Source organism: Homo sapiens, chromosome 16, assembly GCF_000001405.40.
Source record: "Homo sapiens chromosome 16, GRCh38.p14 Primary Assembly".
Taxonomy (NCBI): Eukaryota; Metazoa; Chordata; class Mammalia; order Primates; family Hominidae; genus Homo; species Homo sapiens.
In genome coordinates, this window is record NC_000016.10 from 68,154,962 (window position 1) to 68,182,735 (window position 27,774).

The 27,774-nt window shown below is 41.6% G+C and overlaps 1 protein-coding gene across 3 annotated transcripts in view, besides 1 other annotated feature; it reads left to right on the forward strand.

Moving 5' to 3' along the window:
* Positions 1–27,774, forward strand: part of NFATC3 (nuclear factor of activated T cells 3) — a 143,890-nt gene that overhangs the window by 69,592 nt on the left and 46,524 nt on the right. For all 3 annotated transcript variants that reach the window (NM_004555.4, NM_173163.3, NM_173165.3), the window contains exons 4-7: positions 2,908–3,107; positions 11,882–12,054; positions 19,413–19,553; positions 26,514–26,569. In NM_004555.4, the coding sequence (NP_004546.1) occupies positions 2,908–3,107; positions 11,882–12,054; positions 19,413–19,553; positions 26,514–26,569 (570 nt within the window). The remainder of the gene's footprint in view (positions 1–2,907; positions 3,108–11,881; positions 12,055–19,412; positions 19,554–26,513; positions 26,570–27,774) is intronic.
* Positions 8,603–9,470: an enhancer, noted in NCBI's record as "H3K27ac hESC enhancer chr16:68197467-68198334 (GRCh37/hg19 assembly coordinates)". NCBI's record gives its function as "activates a minimal SCP1, AML or CMV promoter by ChIP-STARR-seq in naive H9 embryonic stem cells {active_cell/tissue: H9 hESC(naive)}" and the evidence as "EXISTENCE:reporter gene assay evidence [ECO:0000049][PMID:30033119]".

Sequence of the window (27,774 nt, forward strand, 5' to 3'; positions counted from 1 at the left end):
TATAGGGCAACAAGAGGGAAGACAGAGAGCAGTTATAAGGCTATTGCAATAGTCCAGGCTTTAATTGCTTCTTTATAAATGTTACAGGACTGAAAACTATCCTGGGTAAAATTGTATTACCTAATAATAGGCAAAAGTCTTAATGTCTTCTTCTGGGTACAGGGAGGATAACCAATAAATTATGAAGTTCGCTGGTTACAAGTTCCACTGTAAAGCCAAGGCTGGACAAGTAGGCGGGAATAAAACTCACCTGTAAGACTCCACCAAATACAAGGAGGCTACTATACCAAGGAAGAGGAGGCATGGCAGGAGAACTGAGACCCCCCTCACTTCATAGTTTTACCTACTGAAGGCAGAAACCCTTAGGCACTTAGGCTGTCATTTACAAAGACTGAAGTATTATCAGGAGAGCTGAAAGAAGTCTCTCCAAGCCAATCTCAAAAGACCCAAGATCTAGTAACATAGCTGAAGAGATGCCCTGAGGCTCAGAAATAAAGAGCAAGACTGAAGAGCATAGAGAACTCCTCATAGATTAAAAAATTATCAGCCAGGTGGTAAATCAGAGGAAGGTCTTCCAACAGTTTCAAGGACCGGAGACTTGGTTATGAAGCATAGGTAGATCTCTGGAATCTGGCCAGCTCTCAGATTCCCTCGCCAGGCAGAAGAGAGAGACATTCCACCCGCCAGGCCTTTAAAGCCAGTGCTATACTGAATCAGACTATAGCTTCAGACACAGTTTAAGAGCTGTGACCTTACAAAAGAAATAGCATGCCCCTTTCTGTAGGTAAATATTTTCTGCTTGAGTCTCTAGACTTTTTTTATACTAAATGTCCATTAAAACAATAAACAACCATACACACACACACAAGAAAATGTGGCCCACATTAAAGAGAGAAAACACTCAATGGTAGCAGACTGAGAGAAGGCTTAGATTAGATATTGGAAAGATACTTTAGAATTACTATAATAAAAATCCTGAATTACCTTGAGGAAAAGGTGGATTCCGTATACATGAAGAGATGGAGGACTTTCATTAGGGCAGAGACAGTTTTTTATTTTAAGTCAAATGGATTGGCTGGGTGCATTGACTCATGCCTGTAATCCCAGCACTTTGGGAGAGGGGTGGATCGCCTGAGGTCAGGAGTTTGAGACCAGCCTGGCCAACATGGTGAAATCTCGTCTCTACTAAAAATACAAAAATTAGCCGAGTGTGGTGGCAGGAGTCTGTAATCAATCCCAGCTTCTCGGGAGGCTGAGGCAGGAGAATCGCTTGACCCTGGGGGGCAGAGGTTGCAGTGGGCTGAGATCGTGTCACTGCACTCCAGCCTGGGGGACAAGAGCGAGACTTCGTCTCAAAAACAACAACAACAACAAAAACAAAAACAAATGGATAATGATGGGGACAAAGATACAAGAGAAGAAAACTGCAAACCGATATCCTTCATGAATATACATGCAACAATCTTCAACAAAATGCTTAGCAACCAAATCCATCAGCACACTACAAAAGTTTATACACCATGATCAAGTGGGATCTATCCCAGGAAAGCAAGAGTGGTTCAACATATGAAAATTAATCTGTGTAATTTACTACATTAGTAGAATGAAGAGAAAAACCATGTGGTCATCTCAGTTGATAGAGAAAAAAACCTTTGACAAAATTCAGCAGCCTTTCATGATTTAAAAAAAGCAAAACAGCCGGGCACAGTCACTCACACCTGTAATCTCAGCACTTTGGGAGGTCGAGGCGGGCAGATCACCTGAGGTCAGGAGTTCAGATCGCCCTGGCCAGCATGGTGAAACCCCATCTGTACTAAAAATACAAAAATTAGCCGGGCATGTTGGTGGGTGCCTGTAATCCCAGCTACTCGGGAGGCTGAGGCAGGAAAATCGCTTGAACCCAGGAGGCAGAGGTTGCACTGAGCAGAGATCGTACCACTATACTCCAGCCTGGGTGACAGAGCGAGACACTGTCTCAAAAAAAGGCAAAACAAAGCAAACTGAAAATAGAGGGAAACTTAGTGTGATTAAGAGGATTCTTGAAAAACTCACACCTAATATCATACTTAATGGTTAAAGACTGAAAGGTTTCCCTCTAACATCAGGAACAAGACAAGGATGCCTGCTTTCACTACTGCGATTCAGCCTTATGCTAGAAGTCCTAGCCAGAGCAATTAGGCAATATAAAAGAAAAAAAAAAAGGCATAGAAAACAAAGGCACAAACACATTCTCTCTCTCTGTCTCTGTCTCTCTCTCCTTCTCCTTCTCTCCCTCTCTCCCTCTTTCTCTTTCCCGAAGATTGTTGAAATTGTTTGCTTAAATAGGCATTTAACTTGGTTGGAGTCAGCCTGGAAAACTTGTCTCCCTGTGGTTGGTGGCAGCTCAAAATCTCATTTCAGTTTTAGCCTTAGCTAGGCTGCTTGGGGTCTGTAAGTTTATACTTATAAAATTGTAAGTTTATAATATATGGAATAGGGGTTTTCAGACTCTTTCTACTAAAAGTGTCTCCGATTTAACAGTCTGTTAGAGGACCTTCCTATATACCCAAATCTTTAGGTCTGGTCTGAATGGTTAATGTTGCCCAGAGTACAGAATCAGTATTTCTTTTGTGTTTTCTACAGCAGAGTCAGAAAGCTTTGTACAGTTTTGGTCGATCTAGATATTTATCTTAAAAAAACAAAACCAAACCCACATTCCTTTATGTAACGTATTCCAGTGTTTTATTTCTTAAACTAATTTGGAAATTTGGAGGGCTGCTCACTGGTTACTTTTGGTTGTATTTTTTGAAATAACATTTTGTGTGTCAATAGTATATGATAGAGATATAATAGACTTACTATTGTTGGCATATTGTAAAATGCATGGATAATGAATTGTGCTTTTCTGTGTTTCTTTTTCCTGATTAGCTCCTGGGCTATAACGAAAAGCCAATAAATCTACAAATGTTTATTGGGACAGCAGATGATCGATATTTACGACCTCATGCATTTTACCAGGTGCATCGAATCACTGGGAAGACAGTCGCTACTGCAAGCCAAGAGATAATAATTGCCAGTACAAAAGTTCTGGAAATTCCACTTCTTCCTGAAAATAATATGTCAGCCAGGTATTTTGAAATATACCTAAAATGTGCAGTTCTTTTTTTCTCTATACTTTCAGAAAAAAAGTAAATATATTTTTGAATATAAATATAAAATATTGTTCTAAATGGCATTATGTAAATAATGTACATTTAGTACATTTTCTAAGAGTGGTAGCATATTTCCAGAAGGAAAATTCAATTCAGTAAGTGTTTTTATACTATATATTACCAGCCAAGCCATTATCCTAGGTGATAGGGATATAAATACTGTATCTGGACTTTCATCAAATGGCTCACAGTCTATCTAATAGGGTAGACAATAAATAAACAATTATGATACAATTATGATTGTTCTATTTCCTTAAGGAAAACTTTTGACTTTACCTCCAGGCATCCCACTTGACCCATTTCCAAATAAGATGAGGTGGCCAACTTCTGAATGAGAATGCAATAGAGTTTTGTACAAAAGGATTATATATAGTTGCCTGTAATAGAAACCTGATATGCAGTGGCTTGAACAGTTAGGGGTTTAGTGTTTTATCACATAAACGAAATATACAGATAGATATTTTAGGGCTAGCACAGTAGCTGCATAAGTCATTAGGGCCCCAAGCAAGTTTTTTCTTCTTTGCCGTCTTTAGCATGTGGTTTCCATCCTAAAGATTGTCTTATGATCTAAAATGGCTGCTGGAGCTCTAGCCATGACATCCTTATTACCAGAGGGGTAATAAGGAGAAAGGTGTGGAGGAAGGGTAAAAGGGAACTTCCATTGGAGTCAAATCCTCTTTTAAGAACCTTTTCCTAAAACCTACTTAACAACTCTACATCTCATTGATCATGCTTATATGTAAGGAACACATGGTTATGTTTACCAGAACACATTGTCACCTCAAATAATTTAGGGAGGCCGAGCACCATGGCTCATGCCTGTAATCCCAGTATTTTGGGAGGCCAAGGCAGGCGGATCACCTGAGCTCAGGAATTTCAGACCAGCCTGAGCAACATGGCGAAACCTTGTCTCTACTAAAATTACAGAAATTAGCCGAGTGCGGTTGCGCCTGTCTGTAGTCCCAGCTACTTGGGAGACTGAGGTAGGAGGATCACTTGCCCGGGAGGCAGAGGTGGCAGTTAGTCGAGATAGTGCCACTGCCACTACACTCCAGCCTGGGCAAGAGTGAGATCCTATCTTTAAAAACAAAAAACAAACAAAGCAATGTAGGGGCCTGTTACTGAGGAAGAAGAAAAGAAAGGATATTGAGTAGGCAGGCACCTATCAGTGGGTAGTAGGCACAACCAGACATGGGAAACTTAGATTTTTATTACAGAAATTGTTTCAAACTACACTATAGACCTTTCTTTCTTTTTTTTTTTTTTTTATATTTTTATTTATTTTTTTCAAGATGGAGTCTCGCTCTGTGGCCCAGGTTGGAGTGCAGTGGTGCAATCTCGGCTCACGCAAGCTCCGCCTCCTGGGTTGATGCCATTCTCCTGCCCCAGCCTCCTGAGTAGCTGGGACTAGAGGCACCTGCCACCACGCCCGGCTAATTTTTTTGTATTTTTAGTAGAGATGGGGTTTCACCGTGTTAGCCAGGATGGTCTTGATCTCCTGACCTCGTGATCCACCCACCTCGGCCTCCTGAAGTGCTGGGATTACAGGCGTGAGCCACTGAGCCTGGCCCACAGACCTTTCTTAAGGCAGGAATAACATCCATCCCAGGCTATTGCAAGAACAGTCCTATAAAACAGATTTCAGCTGGGCGCAGTGGCTCACACCTATTATCCCAGCACTTTGGGAGGCCGAGGTGGGCGGATTACCTGAGACCAGGAGTTTGAGACCAGCCTGGCCAACATGGTGAAACCCGTCTCTGCTAAAAATACAAAAAATTACCTGGGTGTGGTGGCGGGTGTCTGTAATCCCAGCTACTCAGGAGGCTGAGGCAGGAGAATTGCTTGAACCCCAGAGGTGGAGGCTGCAGTGGGCTGAGATCACTCCATTGCATCAAGAGCGAAACTCCGACTCAAAAAGAAAAAGAAACCCCAAAAAATCAGATTTCAGTCTTGAGCTCTCTTCATTTAAATTTATATTTAAATAAACTTTTTAGATGAGCTGAGTGTACTCCCTGAGGACATAGAAACTGATATGTTTCTATTAGGTAAAATAAGAGTTGCCTCAATACATAACTTATTTTGGGCAGATCACTTGAGGGTCAGGAGTTCGAGACCAGCGTGGCCAATATGGTGAAACCCCCAACTCTACTAAAAAATAGAAAAATTAGCTGGGCATAGTTGTCCTGTCTGTAGTCCCAGCTGCTCAGGAGGCTGAGGCTTGAGAATCGCTTGAATCCAGGAGGCAGAGGTTGTAGTGACCCCAGATTGCGCCATTGCACTCCAGCCTGGGCGACAGAGTGAGACTTAGTCTCAAAACAAAAAACAAAAAACCTTATTCTGTTAATTACTACCAGAAAAGAAAAGTTAATATAAATTTAAATAAAATCTTTAAATAAATATAAATTTAAATAAAATTTTTGCCTGCTTTGGTTCAGATGGACAGTACTCAAGAACCTAACCCAGCAAATCATTGCATAGGGGCTATGACAGAGTTTTTTCACAGCAAAGGCAGACAGCTAGCTGATAATCTCTACTCTTAAATTTTTTTTTTTTAGACTGTCTAAATTTGTTGCCCAGGCTGGAGTGCAGTGTCACCATCTTAGCTCACTACAACCTCTGCCTCCCAGGCTCAAGTGATTCTCGTGCTTCAGCCACCCAAGTAGCTGAGATTGCACACGTGCACCACCACTCCTGGCTAATTTTTGTATTTTTAGTAGAGACAGGGTTTTGCCATGTTGACCAGGCTGGTCTCGACCTCCTGGCCTCAAGCAGTCCACCCGCTTTAGCCTCCCAAAGTGCTGGGATTACATCTAGATGTGAGCCACTGCAACGGCCTTAAACATTTGTGTTCTATAATGTAGAAAGAACTTTGGAATCTCAGCCTGTATTTATTCAGATACTCGAGCAAAACTTTCTTGAGGAAAAATATTGACACCAGGCATCCTATTGGACACATTTTCAAATAAGGTTAACATGCCCAACCTCTGAATGAGAATACAAGTAGGCTTCTTCCCTTTTGTTCTGGGATCTTACTTTTTTATATAGCATCAGAAGCATGTGATATGTGATTAGTCAGCTGTAGAGGGAAATTTAAAAATCACCTTTGAACTGTCTTTTTCCAAAAACTCAGGAAATTGATCCCTAGACGATAGTTTGCAGGCCATGTTTGCATTCATTCCTCTGGATATTCAAAGCACAATATTCGAATCAAGTTAAATAGAAAAATCACAAGTTTATTCTGTTACTTAACTTGGCTTGAGGGACAGTATGAGAAATAGCCATGAACATACTTCATAATCTGAAAAACCACTATTAAAGACAGTTTCTCTTAGGTTGATCACTATTGCATGCGTGTGTGCATGCACACACAAACACAGTCCTTTCAACTTAAAGGAAAAAAGTTAGTGTTTCCCGATGGCATGGTAGATTTTGCTTTACCGTACAACACGTGGCCTATAACAACTTTATCACATTTACTTTTTGCCTTGGCTTCCAGAACTTCATAGTCAAGCCCGTTTACAGTAATTATAGTAATTTGTACAACTCTAGACTTGGAGTTTACTTCCTAGTGTTTTAAAATTTTTTCTATTTATTTTTTCTTGGCTTTATTTGTATCTATATTGTAAAATGCCTCATATCCTTTCTGAAAATAATATATAAACCAATAAATAGAAAAGAGTATATTAATTTCTATGAAAAATTATCAAGAAATTGGGAAAGGCTCATATCCCAAATAATATGAAAGCATTGGAGCAGTAGGATCTAAATTTACCTGTCTCCTCCATCATCTTCCATTTACTAGCACATGGAACAAGGGTAATAGTCATAATTTATGTCCCTTCCTCAACCAGATCTAGCATGTACTGTGTATTTTAGACCAGAAAGGACCAGGCTGCAGAAATACCACTATGACTAGTAACATACAGGTAGTCCTCCTCCTGCAACCCTACCACACACATACCTAAAACTTCTTGACCATTCTATCTGCTCTGTACTGGTAGATTGTGGAACAGGAGTTCTGTAGGACCCAAGCGTTATGTATATTGGAGAAAGGATTAAATAAGGGGCAACTAGGATGTTACTAAACCTAAGAAACTTTTTTTAGGTACTGTAGATACCAGGGTAGCTAATGATGAATGAGCCTGTTTACTCAGTAGCTAATTGCTAGGATAAACTAGTATCCTAGTAGCTTGTTGAATGTAACTATATTATTCAGTACAGTGGTTGAATATAATATAGTTCCAGATAATGGTAGGTTTAAAATTCCCAGGTGATAGATAAGACCATGGTTCAAAATAATTTATGCATAAGTGAACCTTAAGTATGTATTAAGTGTCTTTACTGTTCTCTTAAGGCAATAAGGTGTGGAAAAATTCATAGATACTCCCTTGGTTTTGCCTACTAAGCCATGGGCTTGGTTATTTCAAGCCTAAACTCTTTTTTTTTTTTTTTTAAACATCTCAATTGGCTTTATTGGTGATTCTGGAATTGGGCAACACTTCATTCCATAAAATACATAAGTGTTCCGACAAGGTTGACTTTATAGACAGAGAAGGGCTGAAGAAAGACAAGCAAAGATCAAAGAACATGTTGATCATTTTTTTTTTTTTAATTGATCATTCTTGGGTGTTTCTCGCAGAGGGGGATTTGGCAGGGTCATAGGACAATAGTGGAGGGAAGGTCAGCAGATAAACAAGTGAACAAAGGTCTCTGGTTTTCCTAGGCAGAGGACCCTGCCGCCTTCCGCAGTGTTTGTGTCCCTGGGTACTTGCGATTAGGGAGTGGTGATGACTCTTAACAACGAGCACGCTGCCTTCAAGCATCTGTTTAACAAAGCACATCTTGCACCGCCCTTAATCCATTTAACCCTGAGTGGACACAGCACATGTTTCAGAGAGCACAGGGTTGGGGGTAAGGTCACAGATCAACAGAATGAGAATTTTTCTTAGTACAGAACAAAATGAAAAGTCTCCCATGTCTACCTCTTTCTACACAGACATGGCAACCATCCGATTTCTCAATCTTTTCCCCACCTTTCCCCCCTTTCTATTCCACAAAACCGCCATTGTCATCATGGCCCGTTCTCAATGAGCTGTTGGGTACACCTCCCAGACGGGGTGGTGGCCGGGCAGAGGGGCTCCTCACTTCCCAGTAGGGGCGGCCGGGCAGAGGCGCCCCTCACCTCCCGGGCGGGGCGGCTGGCTGGGCTGGGGGCTGACCCCACCACCTCCCTCCCGGACGGGGCGGCTGGCCGGGCAGAGGGGCTTCTCACTTCCCAGTAGGGGCGGCCGGGCAGAGGCGCCCCTCACCTCCCGGGCGGGGCTGCTGGCTGGGCGGGGGGCTGACCCCCCCACTTCCCTCCCGGACGGGGCGGCTGGCCTGGTGGGGGCTGACCCCCACCTCCCTCCTGGACGGGGTGGCTGCCGGGCGGAGACGCTCCTCACTTCCCAGACGGGGCGGCTGCCGGGCGGATGGGCTCCTCACTTCTCAGACGGGGCAGCTGCCGGGCGGAGGGTCTCCTCACTTCTCTGACGGGGCGGCCGGGCAGAGACGCTCCTCACCTCCCAGACGGGGTCGCGGCTGGGCAGAGGCGCTCCTCACATCCCAGACGGGGCGGTGGGGCAGAGGCGCTCCCCACATCTCAGACGATGGGCGGCCGGGCAGAGACGCTCCTCACTTCCTAGATGGGATGGCGGCCGGGAAGAGGCGCTCCTCACTTCCTAGATGGGATGGCGGCCGGGCAGAGACGCTCCTCACTTTCCAGACTGGGCAGCCAGGCAGAGGGGCTCTTCACGTCCCAGACGATGGGCGGCCAGGCAGAGACGCTCCTCACTTCCCAGACGGGGTGGCGGCCGGGCAGAGGCTGCAATCTCGGCACTTTGGGAGGCCAAGGCAGGCGGCTGGGAGGTGGAGGTTGTAGCGAGCCGAGATCACGCCACTGCACTCCAGCCTAGGCACCATTGAGCACTGAGTGAACCAGACTCCGTCTGCAATCCCAGCACCTCGGGAGGCCGAGGCTGGCGGATCACTCGTGGTTAGGAGCTGGAGACCAGCCCGGCCAACACAGCGAAACCCCGTCTCCACCAAAAAAATACGAAAACCAGTCAGGTGTGGCGGCGTGCGCCTGCAATCGCAGGCTGAGGCAGGAGAATCAGGCAGGGAGGTTGCAGTGAGCCGAGATGGCAGCAGTACAGTCCAGCTTCGGCTCGGTATCAGAGGGAGACCGTGGAAAGAGAGGGAGAGGGAGACCGTGGGGAGAGGGAGAGGGAGAGGGAGAGCGCCTAATCTCTTTTCTAAGACCATTACACTAACGCATAAGTCACAGAGCTACCCTACAAGATGCTTTAAATATAGGATGCCAGTATTTATTGCCTTAGCTCTTTGCAGCTCCTCTGTTTTTTTAACATTGGATTAATATTGATGTAGCAGTGCTACACCTTGATTTAAAATGGCATGGTGGCTCATGCCTGTAATCCCAGCTCTTTGGGAGGCTGAGGTGGGCGGATCACGAGATCAGGAGATCGAGACCATCCTGGCCAGCATGGTGAAACCCCGTCTCTACTGAAAATACAAAAAAATTAGCCGGGCGTGGTGGTGCACGCCTGTAATCCCAGCTACTTGGGAGGCTGAGGCAGGAGAATCCCTTGAACCCGGGAGGCAGAGGTTGCAGTGAGCCAAGATGGCGCCACTGCACTCCACCCTGGTGACAGAGCAAGACTCAGTCTCAAAAAAATTTAAAAAACAATTTAAAAAAATAAATAAATGTAGTTTTAAAGATAATTTAATACTTATTTTCACCGCTACATAAGAGTTTTTTTCTTGTTTTATTTTGCTTGCTTTTTTGTTTTTTGCATTTAAGAGTTTTCAGATGTACTTTCTGGTACTGTTATTTCACATCTATTAGGAACTTAGTTTGCTGCTAGTATGCCTTTGCTCAGTACTTAATAACACAGATGATCTCTGCTATTTCCCCTGAAGACCCATGTTGGCATGTTAACATGAATAATCACTAATTTGATATAACTTGATAATACTGCTTTGAGCTAAAGTGCAGTTGTTCAGTATCAGTTATATAATTTGTTATCTATAAATGGCAAATGCTTTTTTAGTTTTCAAAATTGTTGCATTTAAAAAAAATTCTTCTCCTGTGTCTTTCTTAAGATGAAAAATTTTGAGTGGCTTAATTCCTTTTGGGATTCTGCCTTCTGTTTTATTGGTTGTCTTTTTTTTTTTCTTTTTCTTTTTTTTTTTTTTTTTTGGTGGAGATGGAGTCTTGCTCTGTTGCCCAGGCTGGAGTGCAGTGGCGTGATCTCAGCTCATTGCAACCTCTGCCTCCTGGGCTCAAGCAGTTTTCCTGCCTCAGCCTCCCAAGTAGCTGAGACTACAGGCACACGCCACCATGCCTGGCTAATTTTTGTATTTTAGCAGAGACAGGGTTTCACTGTGTTGGCTAGGCTGGTCTCGAAATACTGACCTCAGGTGATCCACTCACCTTGGCCTCCCAAAGTGCTGGGATTACAGGCATGAGCTACTGCACCCGGCCGGTTCTTGTCTTGCTATCCTAGTTCTGTAATATATTGTCCTTCAAAGTGACTTCTGCAGCCTCTGTGCAATAAGCATTAGGGTTGGAACTGTTGATAGATCCAGTAAGAGGACAGATAACAACGAATGCCTTGTTAGCAAGGTTAACTAGTATATTTGATCATAATTAGTTATCCATTTGCTTTATTCTTCCAATATGTGAATAACAAAGGTATTTTGTAGCTTCTGTTGTTTCCTGCCACAATAGTGTGTTAAACAGTCATACTTAATAATAAAGTTAGCAGATGATGAAATGTTATACCTTAAATGCAGAACCTTCATCTTACATGTGCATTCCTTAGAAATTCAAGAATTTTAGCCTGATAGATTGTTTTTATTAATAAATACATCACTATAAAAGTCTAAATATGCTGTTGATAAATTATTTCTTGTTCTGACGTAGTTACATGTGTAGAATTAAAGAGTCTTTACTTTATTTCAGCTGTCTGGTTCTAACACTCCAAAAATTTAATGGCTTATAGTTATCACTCTATTATTTTGCATGATTCTTTGGGTTGACTGAGCTCAACTGGTCCATTCACATGGTGTCAGCTGGGGTCACTTAAGTACCTGGATTAAGTGGGAGCTCAGCTAGGGTTGAACATCCAAAACGGCTAGGGTGGCTGGGTGGCTGGAGTGGTTAGGGATTGTCTGGGCCTTTCTCTGCACCATGCTAGTTGGACTTCTTACTCAGGACTCCAAAATAGCAAAAGTGGAAGTTACCAGCCTTCTTCAGTGCTAGGCTCATAACTTGCATATTGTCACTTGGCCACACTCCATTTGTCAAAGCAAGTCATAGGCCAGTTCTCAAGGAGAGCAGGCATAGATACTCTACGTCTTAATGGCAGGAGGAAAGGCATGCAAGTACTGGAATGAAGAGGAATTATTAACTTTGCAGACAATCTGCTAAGTTTTGCACTTTTATCGTACAAAAATATTTTTAATGCCTAAACTTCAGTTTAGCAGTGAATAGCAATCATACATATCTTTCTTTTTTGACCTAATTTTGGGTAGTTTTTTTCTGACAAATTAACAATTTCTATGTAGTTGAGTTGTTTATAACCATGATTATCAATAAACAAATTAAATTTTTGTATTTTTCTCTTTAGTATTGATTGTGCAGGTATTTTGAAACTCCGCAATTCAGATATAGAACTTCGAAAAGGAGAAACTGATATTGGCAGAAAGAATACTAGAGTACGACTTGTGTTTCGTGTACACATCCCACAGCCCAGTGGAAAAGTCCTTTCTCTGCAGATAGCCTCTATACCCGTTGAGTGCTGTAAGTGAGCTTGTGATGATGTTTTAAGATCTTGTGTATAATAGCTTATTTTCTGTTTTACTTATAATGTAATGTATGCGTCTGAAGTGCAAACTGAGGCATACAATCTGGGTTGCTGGTTTGATTTTCTCATGTGGAAATGAGCTAACATGTTTGGGTGGAAGAGTACTGATCTTGGAATTAGAAAATGGTTTCTCATGATAGTTTGACTAGGTAGCTCTGTGAACTACAGACAACCTCTCTTGACCACAGTTTTCTTGTCTGTAAATGAGAATGGGGGGCCTGATGCCATCTGAGGACCAAATCATGAAGCTATGATTCAGATGCTTTTAAGTATCACTTGGTCTTTATTTCATTAAAATGTCAGCCTTCATGCTAGGAGGTACTTACTTCTGTAAGCTGATACTTTAGCTAAATAAGACTTAACAGAGCTTTTGTTCAAATTATTTACAACATCTGATTGAGATAGTGAATGTTTTTTCCTAACATACAAAACCAAGATACAAGAAAAGACCCTGCAGCCTGACATGTACTCAATCCTGGGGAACTGTGGATCTTGGGCAGGTTAGCTGGTATGACTTGAAATATTGAGACTAATACTTGATCTTTAGGACATAATTTAGAATATTCTGATTCCATGTTTTATTTGCATAGGAGAAAACAGAGGCACAAGTATCTCTAGTACTCATTCAAGGTTATTTGCTTTTTAGTGATAGAGCTGTGCTGCCTAGAAAACAGGTTTTCTTATACTCTGTTGATTATATAATGTTTTATATCTGTTAACCGTATGTGTTCTTTTTTTTTTTTTTTTTTTTTTTTTTTTTTTTTTTTTTTGAGACGGAGATTTACTCTTCTTGCCCAGGTTGGAGTGCAGTGTTGTGATCTTGGCTCACTGCAACCTCCACCTCCTAGGTTCAAACGATTCTCCTGCCTCAGCCTCCCAAGTAGCTGGGATTACAGGCACCCGCCACCATATCTGGCTAAGTTTTTGTATTTTTAGTAGAGACAGGGTTTCATCATGTTGGCCAGGCTGCCCTCGAAATCCTGACCTCAGGTGATCCACCCGCGTTGGCCTCCCAAGTGCAGGGATTACAGGTGTGAGCCACTGCGCCCGGCCAAACACATGTATTCTTTTTTTCAGGTGAGGGGGTTGGGTGTTTTTTGAGACGGAGTCTCACTCTCTTGCCCAGGCTGGAATGTGGTGGCGCAATCTCAACTCACTGCATCCTCCACCTCCAGAGTTTAAGCGATTTTCTCCTGCCTCAGCCTCCTGAGTAGCCGGGGCTACAGGGGCATGCCACCATACCTGGCTAATTTTTGTATTTTTAGTAGAGACGAGGTTTCACCATGTTGGCCATGCTGGTCTCGAAATTCTGACTTGAAGTGATCTGCCCACCTCAGCCTCCCAAAGTGCTGGGATTACAGGTGTGAGCCACTGCACCCAGCTTGTATTCTTTTATTATTATTATTATTATTATTATTATTTTTTAGACGGAGCCTCCCTCTTTCATCCAGGCTCGAGTGCAATGGCACGATCTTGGCTCACTGCAACCTCCACCTCCCATGTTCAAGTGATTCTCCTGCCTCAGTCTCCTGAGTAGCTGAGATTATAGGCGTGTGCCACCACACCCAGCTAATTTTTGTATTTTTAGTAGAGACGGGGTTTCACCATATTCACCAGGCTAGTCTCGAACTCCTGACCTCGTGATCTGCCCACCTTGCCCTCCCAAAGTGCTGAGATTACAGGCGTGAGCCACCGCACCCAGCCCTGTATTCTTAATTTGGGGCCACATCTGCTATAAAATCTTTCATGCCTTCTTTTGCTGTTCGCTGAATTGGAGTGATACTTTATCATTTGCCAGTTGACTCTGGGAATCACTGAGTAAATCTGTGGTGAATTAGCTGTAGAACTAATTTTTGTATTTTTAAAATTTAAAAAATATATTCTTTGTATAGATAGGGTCTCACTGTGTTTCTCAAGCTGGTCTCGAACTCCTGGGCACAAGTGATCCTCCCATCTCAGCCTCCCAAAGTTCTGGGATTATAGGCATGAGCTACCACATTCAGCCTATATTAACTTTTTAATGGGTAATATAGGTATATGCTACAAAATTCAGAAATATAGAGTACAAGATAAATTTCCAAGTCAACCAGTTCTCTTGCTTAGAAACAGCTACCATTGCCAGCTTCTTAATTATCCTGCCAGAGGGTTCTATGCCCAGGTAAGCATAGATCACTCTATTTTAAAGTAAAGTTATTAATTCATTTATTTGAGCAGGGTCTCACTCTTTTGCCCAGGCTGGAGTGCAATGGCATGATCTTGGTTCACTGCAGCCTCCGCCTCCCAGGCTTAAGCAATCCTCCCACCTCAGCCTCCCAAGTAGCTGGGACTACAGGCACAAGCCACCACAACTGACTGATTTTTGCATTTTTCCCCATGTTGCCCAGGTTGATCTTGAACTCCTGGACTTAAGTGATCTGCCCACCTTGGCCTCTCAAAGTGCTGGGATTACAGGCTTGAGCCACCATGCTCGGCTGGCAAAGTAATTTAAATAATTTAAGTTCATAGAGTAGTTTGAGTGTTTGAGATGAAGTTACGCTAAAATGATTCTTAATTTTTTTTCTTTTTTTAAAAATAAAATTGGCCAGGCGCCGTGGCTCATAACTGTAATCCCAGCACTTTGGGAGGCCAAGGCAGGTGGATCACCTGAGGTCAGGAGTTTGAGACCAGCCTGGCCAACATGGTGAAACCCTGTCTCTGCGAAAAATACAAAAATTAGCTGGGCATGGTGGCACGTGCCTGTAATCCCAGCTACTCCAGAGGCTGAGGCAGGAGAACCGCTTGAACCCAGGAGGCGGAGGTTGCAGTGAGCTGAGATCACGCCATTGCACTCCAGACTGGGCAACGAACGAAACTCCATCTCAAAAGAAAGAAAGGAAATGGATGGAGTGGGGAGAAAGGTGGGATGTAGAGAAATTCTAGGAGCACCACTGCACTCCAGCCTGGGCGACAGAGTGAGACTCCATCTCAAAAATAAATAAAAAATAAAAATAAAATTAACGTGATTATTGAGAATATAGAAAATGCAAAATGGGGCTGGGCATGGTGGCTCACGCCTGTAATCCCAGCACTTTGAGAGGCCGAGGTGGGCAGATCACGACGTCAAGAGATCGACACCATCCTGGCCAACACGATGAAACCCCATCTCTACTAAAAATACAAAAATTAGATGGGCGTGGTGGCGTGTGCCTGTAGTCCCAGCTACTTGGGAGGTTGAGGCAAAGGAATCACTTGAACCTGGGAGGCTGGGTTGCAGTGAGCCGAGATCATGCCGTTGTACTTCATCCTGGCAACAACGAGATTCTGTCTCAAAAAAAAAAAAAAAAAGCACAAAATGGTACAAAGAATAGTATAATATTAAATTATTTTGTAATATTACTATTTATATATAGTCAGTATTAACCTTTTCTGGCTGTTCTTTTTTTTTTTTTTTTGAGACGGAGTCTCCCTGTGTGGTCCAGGCTGGAGTGCAGTGGCGCAATCTCGGCTGACTGCAACCCCTGCCTCCCAGGTTCAAGTAATTATTGTGCCTCAGCCTCCCAAGTAGCTGGGATTACAGGTGCCCACCACCACACACAGCTGATTTTTGTATTTTTAGTAGAGATGGGGTTTTACCATGTTGGTCACAGTGGTCTTGAACTCCTGACTTCAAGTAATCTGCCCACCTCAGCCTCCCAAAGTGCTGGGATTACAGGCGTAAGCCACTGCGCCCGGCCTCGATTTTCTTTTATTGTATTTGTATGTCTTTTTGTAAACACACATACACACACAATGTTTTTTAATTGGGCTTATCTGATACAGTTTTATATCGTTTTGCAGTTTTCACTTATACTATCATAGATGTTTTCTTCTGTTATTAAATATTCTTCAAAAATATTATTTTCATCACGCAAGTAGTTTTTTGGCATGTTTATGCCATCTGTTGAACACATTTTTATTTTATTTTTTTGAGATGGAGTCTTGCTCTGTCGCCCAGGCTGGAGTACAGTGGCACGATCTCAGCTCACTGCAACCTCTGCCTCCTGGGTTCAAACAATTCCCCCGGCTCAGCCTCCCGAATAGCTGTGATTACAGGTGCCTACCACCACGCCTGGCTAATTTTTGTATTTTTCAATAGAGATGGGGTTTCACCATGTTGGCCAGGTTGATCTTGAACTCCTGACCTCAGATGATCTGCCGGCCTTGGTCTCCTAAAGTGCTGGGATTATAGGTGTGAGCCAACGCACCCAGCCTGTGCACACTTTGCTGTTACTTAGAATGTACCTGTAATCAGTGTTTGTTTTCCGGACCCTTCTCTATGTCCTATTTAGAACAGTAGAGACATGAGTATTTTCTGAGATCTAGGTTGGTGCTTGGTACATCCCAAGTAATAACTGATCCTAAATCCCATACCTATCTTTTTTTTTTTTTTTCTTGAGACAGAGTCTCACTCTGTTGCCCAGGCTGGAGTGCAATGGCATGATCTTGGCTAGCTGCAATCTTCGCCTCCCAGGTTCAAGAGATTCTCCTGCTTCAGCCTCCCAAATAGCTGAGATTACAGGCATGCACCACTGTGCCCGACTAATTTTTTTATTTTTAAATAAAGATGGGGTTTCACCATGTTGGCCAGGCTAGTCTCAAATTCCTGACCTCAGGTGATCCACCTGCCTCTGCCTTCCAAAGTGCTGGGATTACAGACGTGAGCCACCACGCCTGGCTGCATACACATCTTTTTTCTTTTCTTTTTTTTATGATGGAGTCTCGCTGTTTCGCCCAGGGGTGGAGTGCAGTGGCGCGATCTCGGCTTACTGCAACCTCCGCCTCCTGGGTTCAAGTGATTCTTCTACCTCAACCTCCAGAGTAGCCAGGATTACAGGCGTGCACCACCACACCTGGCTAATTTTTGTATTTTTAGTAGAGACGGGTTTTCACCATGTTGGTGACTACAGGTACGTTCTAAGTAACAGCAAAAGTGTGTTCAGGTTGGGCTCATTGGCTCGAACTCCTGACCTCGTTATCCGCCCACCTCAGCCTCCCAAAGTGCTGGGATTACAGGCGTGAGCCACCGCGCCTGGCCCACGTAGGCATCTTCTATGAAAGAATTGATTATAATACTCTCTTTGAATCGGGCTGGCGTCCCAATTTATGTACTTTTGTGGCTAGGTATTAAGTACTTGAGAGCTGTTGTGAGCTGGGAATGGATGCTTTCCTAATGGCATTGCATTTTAAATTTCCTTAAAATACTCTGCTAGCCAAAGAAAACACAGCTGATCTTCAAACCCACCAGTTTTCCCACCCACATACTAGAAGTAAAAGTGGACCTGTTTTCCAAATGTGAAGAGATATAATCAACACTTTTAAAATTTGTTTTAATTCAGAGAGAAACCTAGGTATCTAGGTATTTGGCAAGAAAAAACCATTAGAGGTCAGGTATGCCGACTCACACCTGTAATCCCAACTCTTTGGGAGGCCTAGGCAGGAGTACTGCTTATGTCCAGAAGGACTGCTTGAGCCCAGGAGTTGGAGACCAGCGTGGGTAACATAATAAGACCCTGTCTCTACAAAAAAAATTTTTTTTTAGTTGTGTATGGTAATGCATTCCTATAGTCCCAGCTCCTAGGGAGGGTGAGATCTGAAGATCACTTGAGCACAGAAGGTTGAGGCTGCAGAGCTGTGATCATGCCATTGCACTTCATCCTTGGTGACAGTGCATGACCGTTTCTGAAATCCAACAAACAAAAACAACCGTTAGAGAACCTACACAATGAAAAGAAGTATAATCTACAGTTTGAAACTCAAGCAATTAAAAGAAAGAAATGCCAGAAATAGAATCTCCAGAAAATGTAGCAACTTGGAACCAGTCATTATCAGAGAAAGGTGGCACCGTAAGCACTGTTTATAGAAGTTGATAATGTAAATATCTGGGCCCAGTGGCTCACACCTGTAATCCCAGCACTTTGGGAGGCCAATGTGGGAGGATCACTTGAGCCCAGGAGTTCGAGAACAGCCTGGGCAACAAAGTGAGACCCTATCTCTACAAAAATAAAATATTAAAAATCAGCCAGGCACGGTGGCACATGCTTGTAGTCCCAGCTACTTGGGAGGCTGAGGTGGGAGTATTGCTTGAGCCCAGGAGTTTGATGCTGCAGTGAGCTGATCATGCCACACTGGGCAATAAATAACCTGGGCAACAGAGCAAGTCTCTGTCTTTAAAAAAAATAAAAATATAGGCCGGGCGCGGTGGCTCACACCTGTAATCCCAGCACTTTGGGAGGCTGAGGCGGGCAGATCACCTGAAGTCTGGAGTTTGAGAACAGCCTGACCAACATGGTGAAACCCCGTCTCTACCAGAAATAAAAAAATTAGCCGGGTATGGTGGCACATGCCTGTAATCCCAGCTACTCAGGAGACTGAGGCAGGAGAATCACTTGAACCTGGGAGGCAGAGGTTGCGGTGAGCCGAGATCACACCACTGCACTCCAGCCTGGGCGACACAGCAAGACTCTGTCTCAAAAAAAATAAATAAATAAAATGAATTTAAAAAGAAAGGCTTACTTGGTGTTTGTCTAGTAGTAGTTTCCTAGAACTTGTCTTCTCTTCATTGCACGCAATATAATTATACATCTTTGGACTTACATGCTTTTTGTAATTAGATTTATAGATTTTAACGGATAGTTGCATAGAAGAAACATATTAAACATTTAAGCAAAAAGAAAAGCAGATGAGGTAAATGTGTTGGAGTCAGTATGAAGTTGAAGATATTAATGAAGTTTTATTAGTTTCTTTATAGTTGTAGTCTAAGAAAATAATTGGCTGGGTGTGGTGGCTCAAGCCTATAATGCCAGCACTTTGGGAGGCCAAGGCAGGAGGATTGTTTGAAGCCAGGAGTTTGAGACCAGGCTGGACGACAAAGTGAGACCATGTTGCTATTAAAAAAAAAAATTAGCTGAGCATGGTGTCATGCATCTGTAACCCCAGCTACTTGGGAGACTGAGATGGGAGCATCACTTGAGCCCAGGAACTGGAGGCTGCAGGGAGCTAGGATCACATCACTGTGCTCCAATTTGGGCAACAGAGTGAGACCCTTTCTTAAATAAATATACTTAGAAATCACATTAATATATCTATTTTGTTTTATAAACAGCTTAGTTCTTTTAGTGTGTTTTGTTGCCATTGTCTTGAATTTTAAAAGCCTAAATGAATCCCAAAATTTGCTTCTCTTTATTTTCTTTTTGTAGCTTGAGTTTGTCATTTATGTATCAAAGATTTTTAACTAATATTTTGTTTTTTCTCAACTCTTTAAAAAAATTTAAAACAGCCCAGCGGTCTGCTCAAGAACTTCCTCATATTGAGAAGTACAGTATCAACAGTTGTTCTGTAAATGGAGGTCATGAAATGGTTGTGACTGGATCTAATTTTCTTCCAGAATCCAAAATCATTTTTCTTGAAAAAGGACAAGGTAAGTAATATATGAGTTGATTGACTTCAAACTAAGGGGCAAAGGGTAAAATAAATTATTTAGATGTTTCTGTAACAAAAATTACAAAGTAGTTTTCATAAAGCTATGGGTGTCATTTTGCACTTGATTTTATTTTAAACCAAACATTTATTAAATTTTCATATAAATGTTAAATTATCTTTAAGGAGCTGGGCATGGTGGCATGTGCCTGTAGTTCCAGCTACTCAGAAGGCTGAGGCAGGAGGATCACTTAGGCCCAGAAGTTCTAGGTTACAGTGAGCTCTGATTGTGGCACTTCACTCCTCAGCCTGGGCAACAGAGTGAAACCTTGTTTCTAAATAATAATGTAATAATAATAATTTAAGATGTCTGAAAAGTAGAATTCCCCCAGCAACTCTACTCCTAAGTGTTTACTTGAAAGGGTTAGAAATACGTGTCCGTACATGAACTTAGAGACAAATATTTATAGCAACTTTATTTATAATTGCCAAAAAATGGAAACAACCTAAATGCTCACCAACTGATGAATGGATAAACAAAATGTGATATATCCATACAATGGAATATTACTTGGTTATAAAAATTAATGAAGTACTCATACATGCTACAGCATGGATAAACCCTGAAAATAGGCTAAGTGAAGGAAGCCAGCATAAAAGGACACATAGTATATGACTCCATTTGTATAAAATGTCCAGTATAGGCAATCCAGAAACCAAAAGTAGATTAGTGCTTACCAGTGGTTGGAGGAAGTTGTCAGTAGTGAGTGACTGCTGATGGGAACTGGGTTTCCTTTTGGAGTGATGGAAATCTTCTGGAATTAGATAGTGGTGATGGTTGTACTGCTCTGTGAATATCCCCCAACCCTCTGAGTAGTATACTTTAAAAGGATGGATTTTATAGTATGTGAATTATACCTCAATTATTTTTAAAGTAGAAGAATTCAGTGTTTATCAGGGTGTTTGATTTTATTCCTTCTTGTGCATATTTAAAACACTTTTACATCAGTTGTTTCCTCTCAGTTTTAAAAATGTTTAAAACTTATGAAAGACTTTTTTTTTTTGAGACAGTGACTTGTTCTGTTGGCTAGGCTGGAGTGCAATGGCACAATCTTGGCTCACTGCAACCTCCGCCTCCTAGGTTAAAGCGATTCTCCTGCCTCAGCCTCCCGAGTAGCTGGGATTACCGGCACACGCCACCACACCTGGCTAATTTTTGTATTTTTGGTAGACACGGGATTTTGCCACCTTGGCTAGGCTGGTTCTTAAACTCTTGACCTCAAGTGATCTGCCCACCTCAGCCTCCCAAAGTGCTAGGATCTACGCGCCAGTCATGAAAGACTGTTTTTATAAGAATAATATAATATAACAAATACTTAAACCTACTACCAAGTTTAAGAAATACATTTACCTTTGAAAGCCCCTGGGTCCCCCTTCTCAAATGGAACCATCATCTGAATTGACCCTTGCTTTTCTTTTTTTTGAGACGGAGCCTCGCTCTGTTACCCCGGCTGGAGTGCGGTGGCACTATCTCAGCTCACTGCAACCTCCACCTCCGTGTTCAAGCAATTCTCCTGCCTCAGCCTCCCGAGTAGCTGGGATTACAGGCGCCCACCACCATGCCCAGCTAAGTTTTGGATTTTTAGTAGAAATGGGGTTTCACCATATTGGCCAGGCTGGTCTCTAACTCCTGACCTCACGATCCACCCGTCTCGGCCTCCCAAAGTGCTGGAATTAGAGGCGTGAGCTACCGCACCCGGCTGTAACCCTTGCTTTTCAACCATATAAAACTATTTATAATTGCCAAAAAATGGAAACAACCTAAATGCTCAACATCTTTTTTTTTTTTTTCTGTTTTTGGACTTTGTACGATATTGCCTCTATTCTTTGAAAAATTGTATTTTCAGAGGTCTTAATGTTTTAAGACTGATCCATGTAACTGAAGACCTTTCACTACTATAAAGTTTTTCGTTGTATGAATGTACCACAATTTATTATCCTTTCTCTTACTGGATATTTCGATATTGTCCAGTTTTTGGCACTGCTGTACCTGGTAGGCATAGGCAAGAATATTAAAATTCTTAAATTTTTTTAATCCACTAGAGGTGAAATGGTATTTTGAAATTTGGGTTTGAATTTCCCTGATAGCTGTTGAGGTTGTTATGGACCATTAATATTTCATTTACTATGCAATAACTGTGTCTTTGCCTGTTTTCTCCATTGGATCATTTTTCATTTTCTTAGTGACTTAAGGAATTCTTTATATATTCCGGATATCAGAGTGATTTGGGGGAAGTGCTTCTTCTTTTTCCATTCATTAACAGTATCTGTTGAGTACTCTCATGTTCCCTTGCACATGTGACAGAGCTCACCTCCAAAACCTTCTGGACAGGGGACTGTCTTTGTGGGGAGCCATTAACTTGTGATATATTTCTATTTGTGGTTGTAGGACTAGTCAGATTTGTTTCTTCTTGAGTTTGTTCTGGTCATATATATTTTTCTTTCTTTCTTTTCTTTTCTTTTTTTTTTTTTTGTTTTTTTAATTTTGGGATGGAGTTTCGCTCTTGTTTCCCAGGCTGCATGCAATGCCGTGGTGTGGTCTTGGCTCACTGCAGCCTCTGCCTCCCGGGTTCAAGTGATTCTCCTGCCTCAGTCTCCCAAATAGCTGGGATTACAGGCACCTGCCTCCACGCCTGGCTAATTTTTGTATTTTTTTAAATAGAGATGGGGTTTCACCATGTTGGCCAGGCTGGTCTTGAACTCCTGATCTCAGGTGATCCGCCCGTCTTGGCCTCCCAAAGTCCTTGGATTACAGGCGTGAGCCTATGTGCCCGCCTGGTCATATATATTTTTCTAGGACTTTATTCCTTTCCCCTACATTTTCAAATCTATTGACATTAATTAACTCACAGTATTCTCTTTTTGCATCTGGAGTTATATCCCCCCACTCTTTTATTCCTGTTATTTATTTATGCCATTTCTGGATTTTTTACCAGTCTTTCCATAGTTCTTGGCTTTATCAAACCTTTCAGTGTGCCTTTCTGTTTCACTGATTTCTATATTTAACTTCTTTTTACTTTTTTTATTATGTTTTTTCTTAATTAAAATTTTAATGTTTTCATTCTTTTGTCTTTTTAAAACTTAAGTATTAAAGGCTATACGGTGCCCCCATCACCTCTCTTTTATAATTTCTCTATCTTTTTCTACTGGATCCTTCTTCTTGGAGTTTAATTATGTTTATGTCTTCTCATCCTAAATATTCCCTTTCTCTTAAATCTGTCATCCTCTTAAGCTTTTGTTTCATTTCTCTATCGCTTAGCATCCACCCTCTCAAAAAAGTAGTATCATATGCTTTCATTTCCTTACCTGCTACTCTTTAATCTTTTGTCTTTCACTTCATTGAAATCATAATCACCTAAAAATTTGACAGCCAGCTACTTACTCTCCTTCTTAACACTTTTCCCCCTTGGCTTTGTTGTTATCTGGTTCTCACACATCTTTATTCTTGTTTGTTTTTTTATACGAATTTTTCTGGCTCTTAAATATAGATGTTTTCTAAGGTTTTCTACTTATTTTTCTTCTCATTGTTTTCCTTCTTTTTGAGAAATTTTATTAGCTCCCAAATCTCTCTCTGTAGCAACATGTTTCTCTTAAACTTTAACCTGAAATTTAAAATACCCACTGGATATTGCTTCATAAATGTCTCACTGATACTTAAAATATGAAAACATATCTGACTTTACAAACTAGTTTTTCTCTCTGGGTTTCTTAACTTGATTAATAATATCAGCATCTTCTCTTTGAGCTGGAAGTATGTGGCTGTCTTATTCTCCTTTAAAATTAACTTCCCTTCAACCCTGACCCATACCCTGCCTGTCTTCAAAAAACATCAGTTCTGTTTCATAATTTATTAATTCATCAATTATTTATGTAGCAGTGCTATGTGATATAGACACTAGTCTAGGCATTGGGGACATAATGTTGAATACAACCTTCAGGTTGTGTGCTCTGATAGAGCTTACATTGTAGTGGGGGAAGCACCTATAAACAAATAAATGAACAAGATTATTCCAGATAAAATTGTATGAAGAGGGTATAGTGATAGAGACTGAATTGTGAACTGTTTGTATCAAGTCATCAAGAAAGGTCTTTCTGTAGGTGTCACATTTTAGGTGAATAAGGAGCAGGAGGAAGAGACGGTGTCTCAGAGCTGTCCCTTCCTTTCCACTGTAAAAATTCATCTGTGCATGAATACAATTAATAGGTATTATTGAATTCATTTATTTGGCCCAGAGCTTCACATTTAAGAGCTTTTGACTGAAGTTGAATCATGTTAAATGGTGGCAGTTACTGGTTTTAGAGGAGATTGCAGTTGTAAACATGTAACTCCCATTTTAAAAGCACCTTCAGTGATCCCCTTCATTTTCTAGGCTCCTTATTATGGCATTCAGGCCATAATCTGCTGCCAGTCTTTCCAACCCTCTTTCTTACTGCTCCTTGCCTCATACTTTATACAGCATCACAGCTGCTTGTTAAGTCTCTATATCTTAGGGGTTCATGTCATCTTGCCTGTGCTCATGCTGTCTCTTCTGTCTATAATTACCCTTTCCTCATATTATGAGTTCTGTCTCATGTTAAGTCTCAGTTCAAGAGCTCTTCCAGGAAGCCTTCCTTCTCTCACTACCCCTCCCCAAGATTAGGTTGAAGACCCTGATCCCTGTGTTCTTGGTTTATTCAGAGTGTACCTTTATTAATTATTGTACCCAACACATTTTATTATAATCAACTGTTTGCGTTTGCCTTTCATCCACAGGCTGAAGGCAGGGCATCCTGTCTCAGTTATCTCAGTAACATGAAGTGTCTGGCACATAAGGATCCAGCAAATGGTTGCTGAACTGAGCTGTAATTTTAAGTAGGTGTAGCACTTGCCTGTAGTATCTCTTGTGCAGCAGAAGTAACCATTGTCTAGTTACTGGACTGGAAAATGATAGTTACAACCTGGAAAGCATTTGATGAAATATTTCATGATAACTTCACAGACCAGATGAAGAAGTGATGCAAGCTGTGTGTGGCTTAGTCACTGGGTGAATGCCCATGACACAAAAAGAATGCTTTGGAATAATTGTACATCAGTCGGAGAGCTTTAGTAGCAGATAAGGCTGTCTCCAAATGAGTAGTTCACTTAGGATGAAGAGACAGAAAATGTGTTGGCCAAATCTTCAGGTGACAGAAATCTGGAAAGCCTAGGAAACATTTTTTAGGACCATCAGTATCTAAAAAATATTTTGACAAGTCAAGGGATCCAACAAAATGAAGTCTCCCTGCTGGGAGTAAGTAATGTTCCAAAGGGCTGGGAGAAAAATACCAACTCAGCTGCATTAAGTGCACAGTATGGGAACATGGCAGTAGGAAATGTATAGACCCTTGGTCACATACTTATTGTGAGAGTCAGCATATGGTGCTCCCAAGAAAGCTTCCCCGCCTGCACCCCAAGAAAGCTTTCATTAACAAAGACACAGCATTTCCGTGTACGGTGGTTAGAGCCTCAGTCATTCTGTACCATGCTTGGTCATTTCTCACCTAGGTTATTCAGTCCTGGGCCTTGTGAATTTGGAGGAGCACGTTTAAGCAGAGACCATGAAGTCTAAAATATTATGTAAGGAATAGGCACAGAACTGGGGATGCTAGCCAGTAGGAGAGGAGACACAAGCAGATATAACAGCTTTTCAACATCTGAAATATAATCTCACAGAGAAGCAATCAAGATTTTATTTTGTGACGGCAAGGAATAATGTTTAGCCTAGTTGTTGGATACCATAAAGAGACATTTCATTTATCACGAGGAGCTTTCTAGCAGCATTTATTATCCAAGATGGAATGAGTTACCTGGTGAGGAAGTGAGTTTCCTGTCATTTTAGTTGTACAAGCAAAAGTTGGCCACCACTTGATGGCGGTGTTCTCAGAGGGCTTTTATTTGTTTTTTATTTTTATTTTTTTTAAATTATACTTTAAGTTCTAGGGTACATATGCACAACTTGCAGGTTTGTTACATAGGTGTAGATGTGCCATGTTGGTGTGCTGCACCCATTAACTTGTCGTTTACATTAGATATATCTCCTAATGCTATCCCTTCCACTTTCCCCCACCCCACGACAGGCCCCAGTGTGTGATATTCCCCATTCCTGTGTCTCAAGTGTGTTCTCATTGTTCAATTCCCACCTATGAGTGAGAACATGCGGTGTTTGGTTTTTTGTCCTTGTGATAGTTTGCTGAGAATGATGGTTTCCAGCTTCATCCATGTCCCTACAAAGGACATTAACTCATCATTTTTTATGGCTGCATAGTATTCCATGGGGTATATGTGCCACATTTTCTTAATCCAGTCTATCATTCATGGACATTTGGGTTGGTTCCAAGTCTTTGCTGTTGTGAATAGTGCCACAATAAACATATGTGTGCATGTGTCTTTATAGCAGCATGATTTATAATCCTTTGGGTATATACCCAGCAATGGGATGGTTGGGTCAAATGGTATTTCTAGTTCTAGATCTTTGAGGAATCGCCACACTGTCTTCCACAATGGTTGAAGTAGTTTACAGTCCCACCAACAGTGTAAAAGTGTTCCTATTTCTCCACATCCTCTCCAGCACCTGTTGTTTCCTGACTTTTTAATGATCGCCATTCTAACCGGTGTGAGATGGTATCTCTCAGAGGGCTTTTAAACATCACTTGGGTAGATGGTTAGAATGAACTCAGTGGGATCTGCTAACCTGGGCAGCCCAAGATCTTTCTCCTTGTATTTTCCCCATTTGTACATATTTATATTTTATTTTCATAATGGAAGTCAGTGGAAAAAAGATCCCCTTTGTTAATAAATTTGTGATACTATCCATGCATTAGATTTTGTCTGTATGCTTTCTGATATGAATTGCTTTTAACTATAAACTCTTTCTTTCAATAGATGGACGACCTCAGTGGGAGGTAGAAGGGAAGATAATCAGGGAAAAATGTCAAGGGGTAAGAAATTTACCTTAATTCTTAAGAAATATTTAAGACACTGAATAGAAAATTGAATAATGCTGCTTTATGGTATGGATGACTCTTTTGTATATTGATTAATAAAAAAGTAAAATTAGGCTGGGCATGGTGGCTCATGCCTGTAATCCCAGCACTTTGGGAGTCTGAAGCAGGAGGATTGTTTGAGCCCAGGAGTTGAGACAAGCCCGAGCAACATGGTAAAACCCTGTCTCTAAAATACAAAAAATTAGCCATGCGTGGTGAGGTGCGCCTGTAGTGCCAGCCACTTGGGAGGCTGAGGTGGGAGGATCACCTGAGCCTGGGAGGTCAAGGCTGCAGTGAGCCATGATCATGCCACTGCACTGCAGCCTGAGTGACAGAGTGAGACCCTGTCTAAAAAAGTAAAATTTCTAGCGGTTTGGAAGTAAAATATTTACCTAGTATTAAAGTAAATTAAATTAAAGTTTAGAAAAGATAACCAGTTAGTGTCTTCTTTTCTCCTTATTGTATATAGGGAAGGAGAAACTAGAAATGAAAGATCATCAGAAGGTTCTTATTGAAATTATCATTAATTTCTCTGAACTCATTTAGGAATAAAAACAAATTCAATAAAGAACATATGTATAGGCCTTCATGGAAAAATGAGAAAGAACATATGTAGTGGGTAAAAGTTAGGAGCAAGACAAGTCCTTAGGAATTGTGTACTTAACACATATTTCTAACTCTTCAGCTATTTAGTTAAGCTTTCTAGGATTCTACATTGAAAGTTTTGGTCTTGTTATGGTGGTTGGAATGGAGACAGAGCATTTTCTGGGCTAGGGAATACCACTTCCCACAGTGCTTTCCAAAGATTTGGAGCAGTTAGGTTGAGGATTGTATTTGGTTTGGGGCTAAAGATTTTCACCTTGGTTTTGTAAAATTATTTTTGATATAGATAACACATTTTGTTTAATGCCAGTTTAGAACATTTGGATTATTTTATTTTTTTAATTTTTATTTATTTATTTTTAGATGGAGTCTAGCTCTGTCGTGCAGGCTGGAGTGCAGTGGTGTAGTCTCGGCTCACTGCAGCCTCTGCCTCCCGGGTTCAAGCGATTCTCCTGCCTCAGACTCCTGAGTAGCTGGGACTACAGGCGTGCAATATCATGCCTGGCTAATTTGTATTTTTAGTAGAGATAGGGTTTTAACATGTTGGCCAGGCTGGT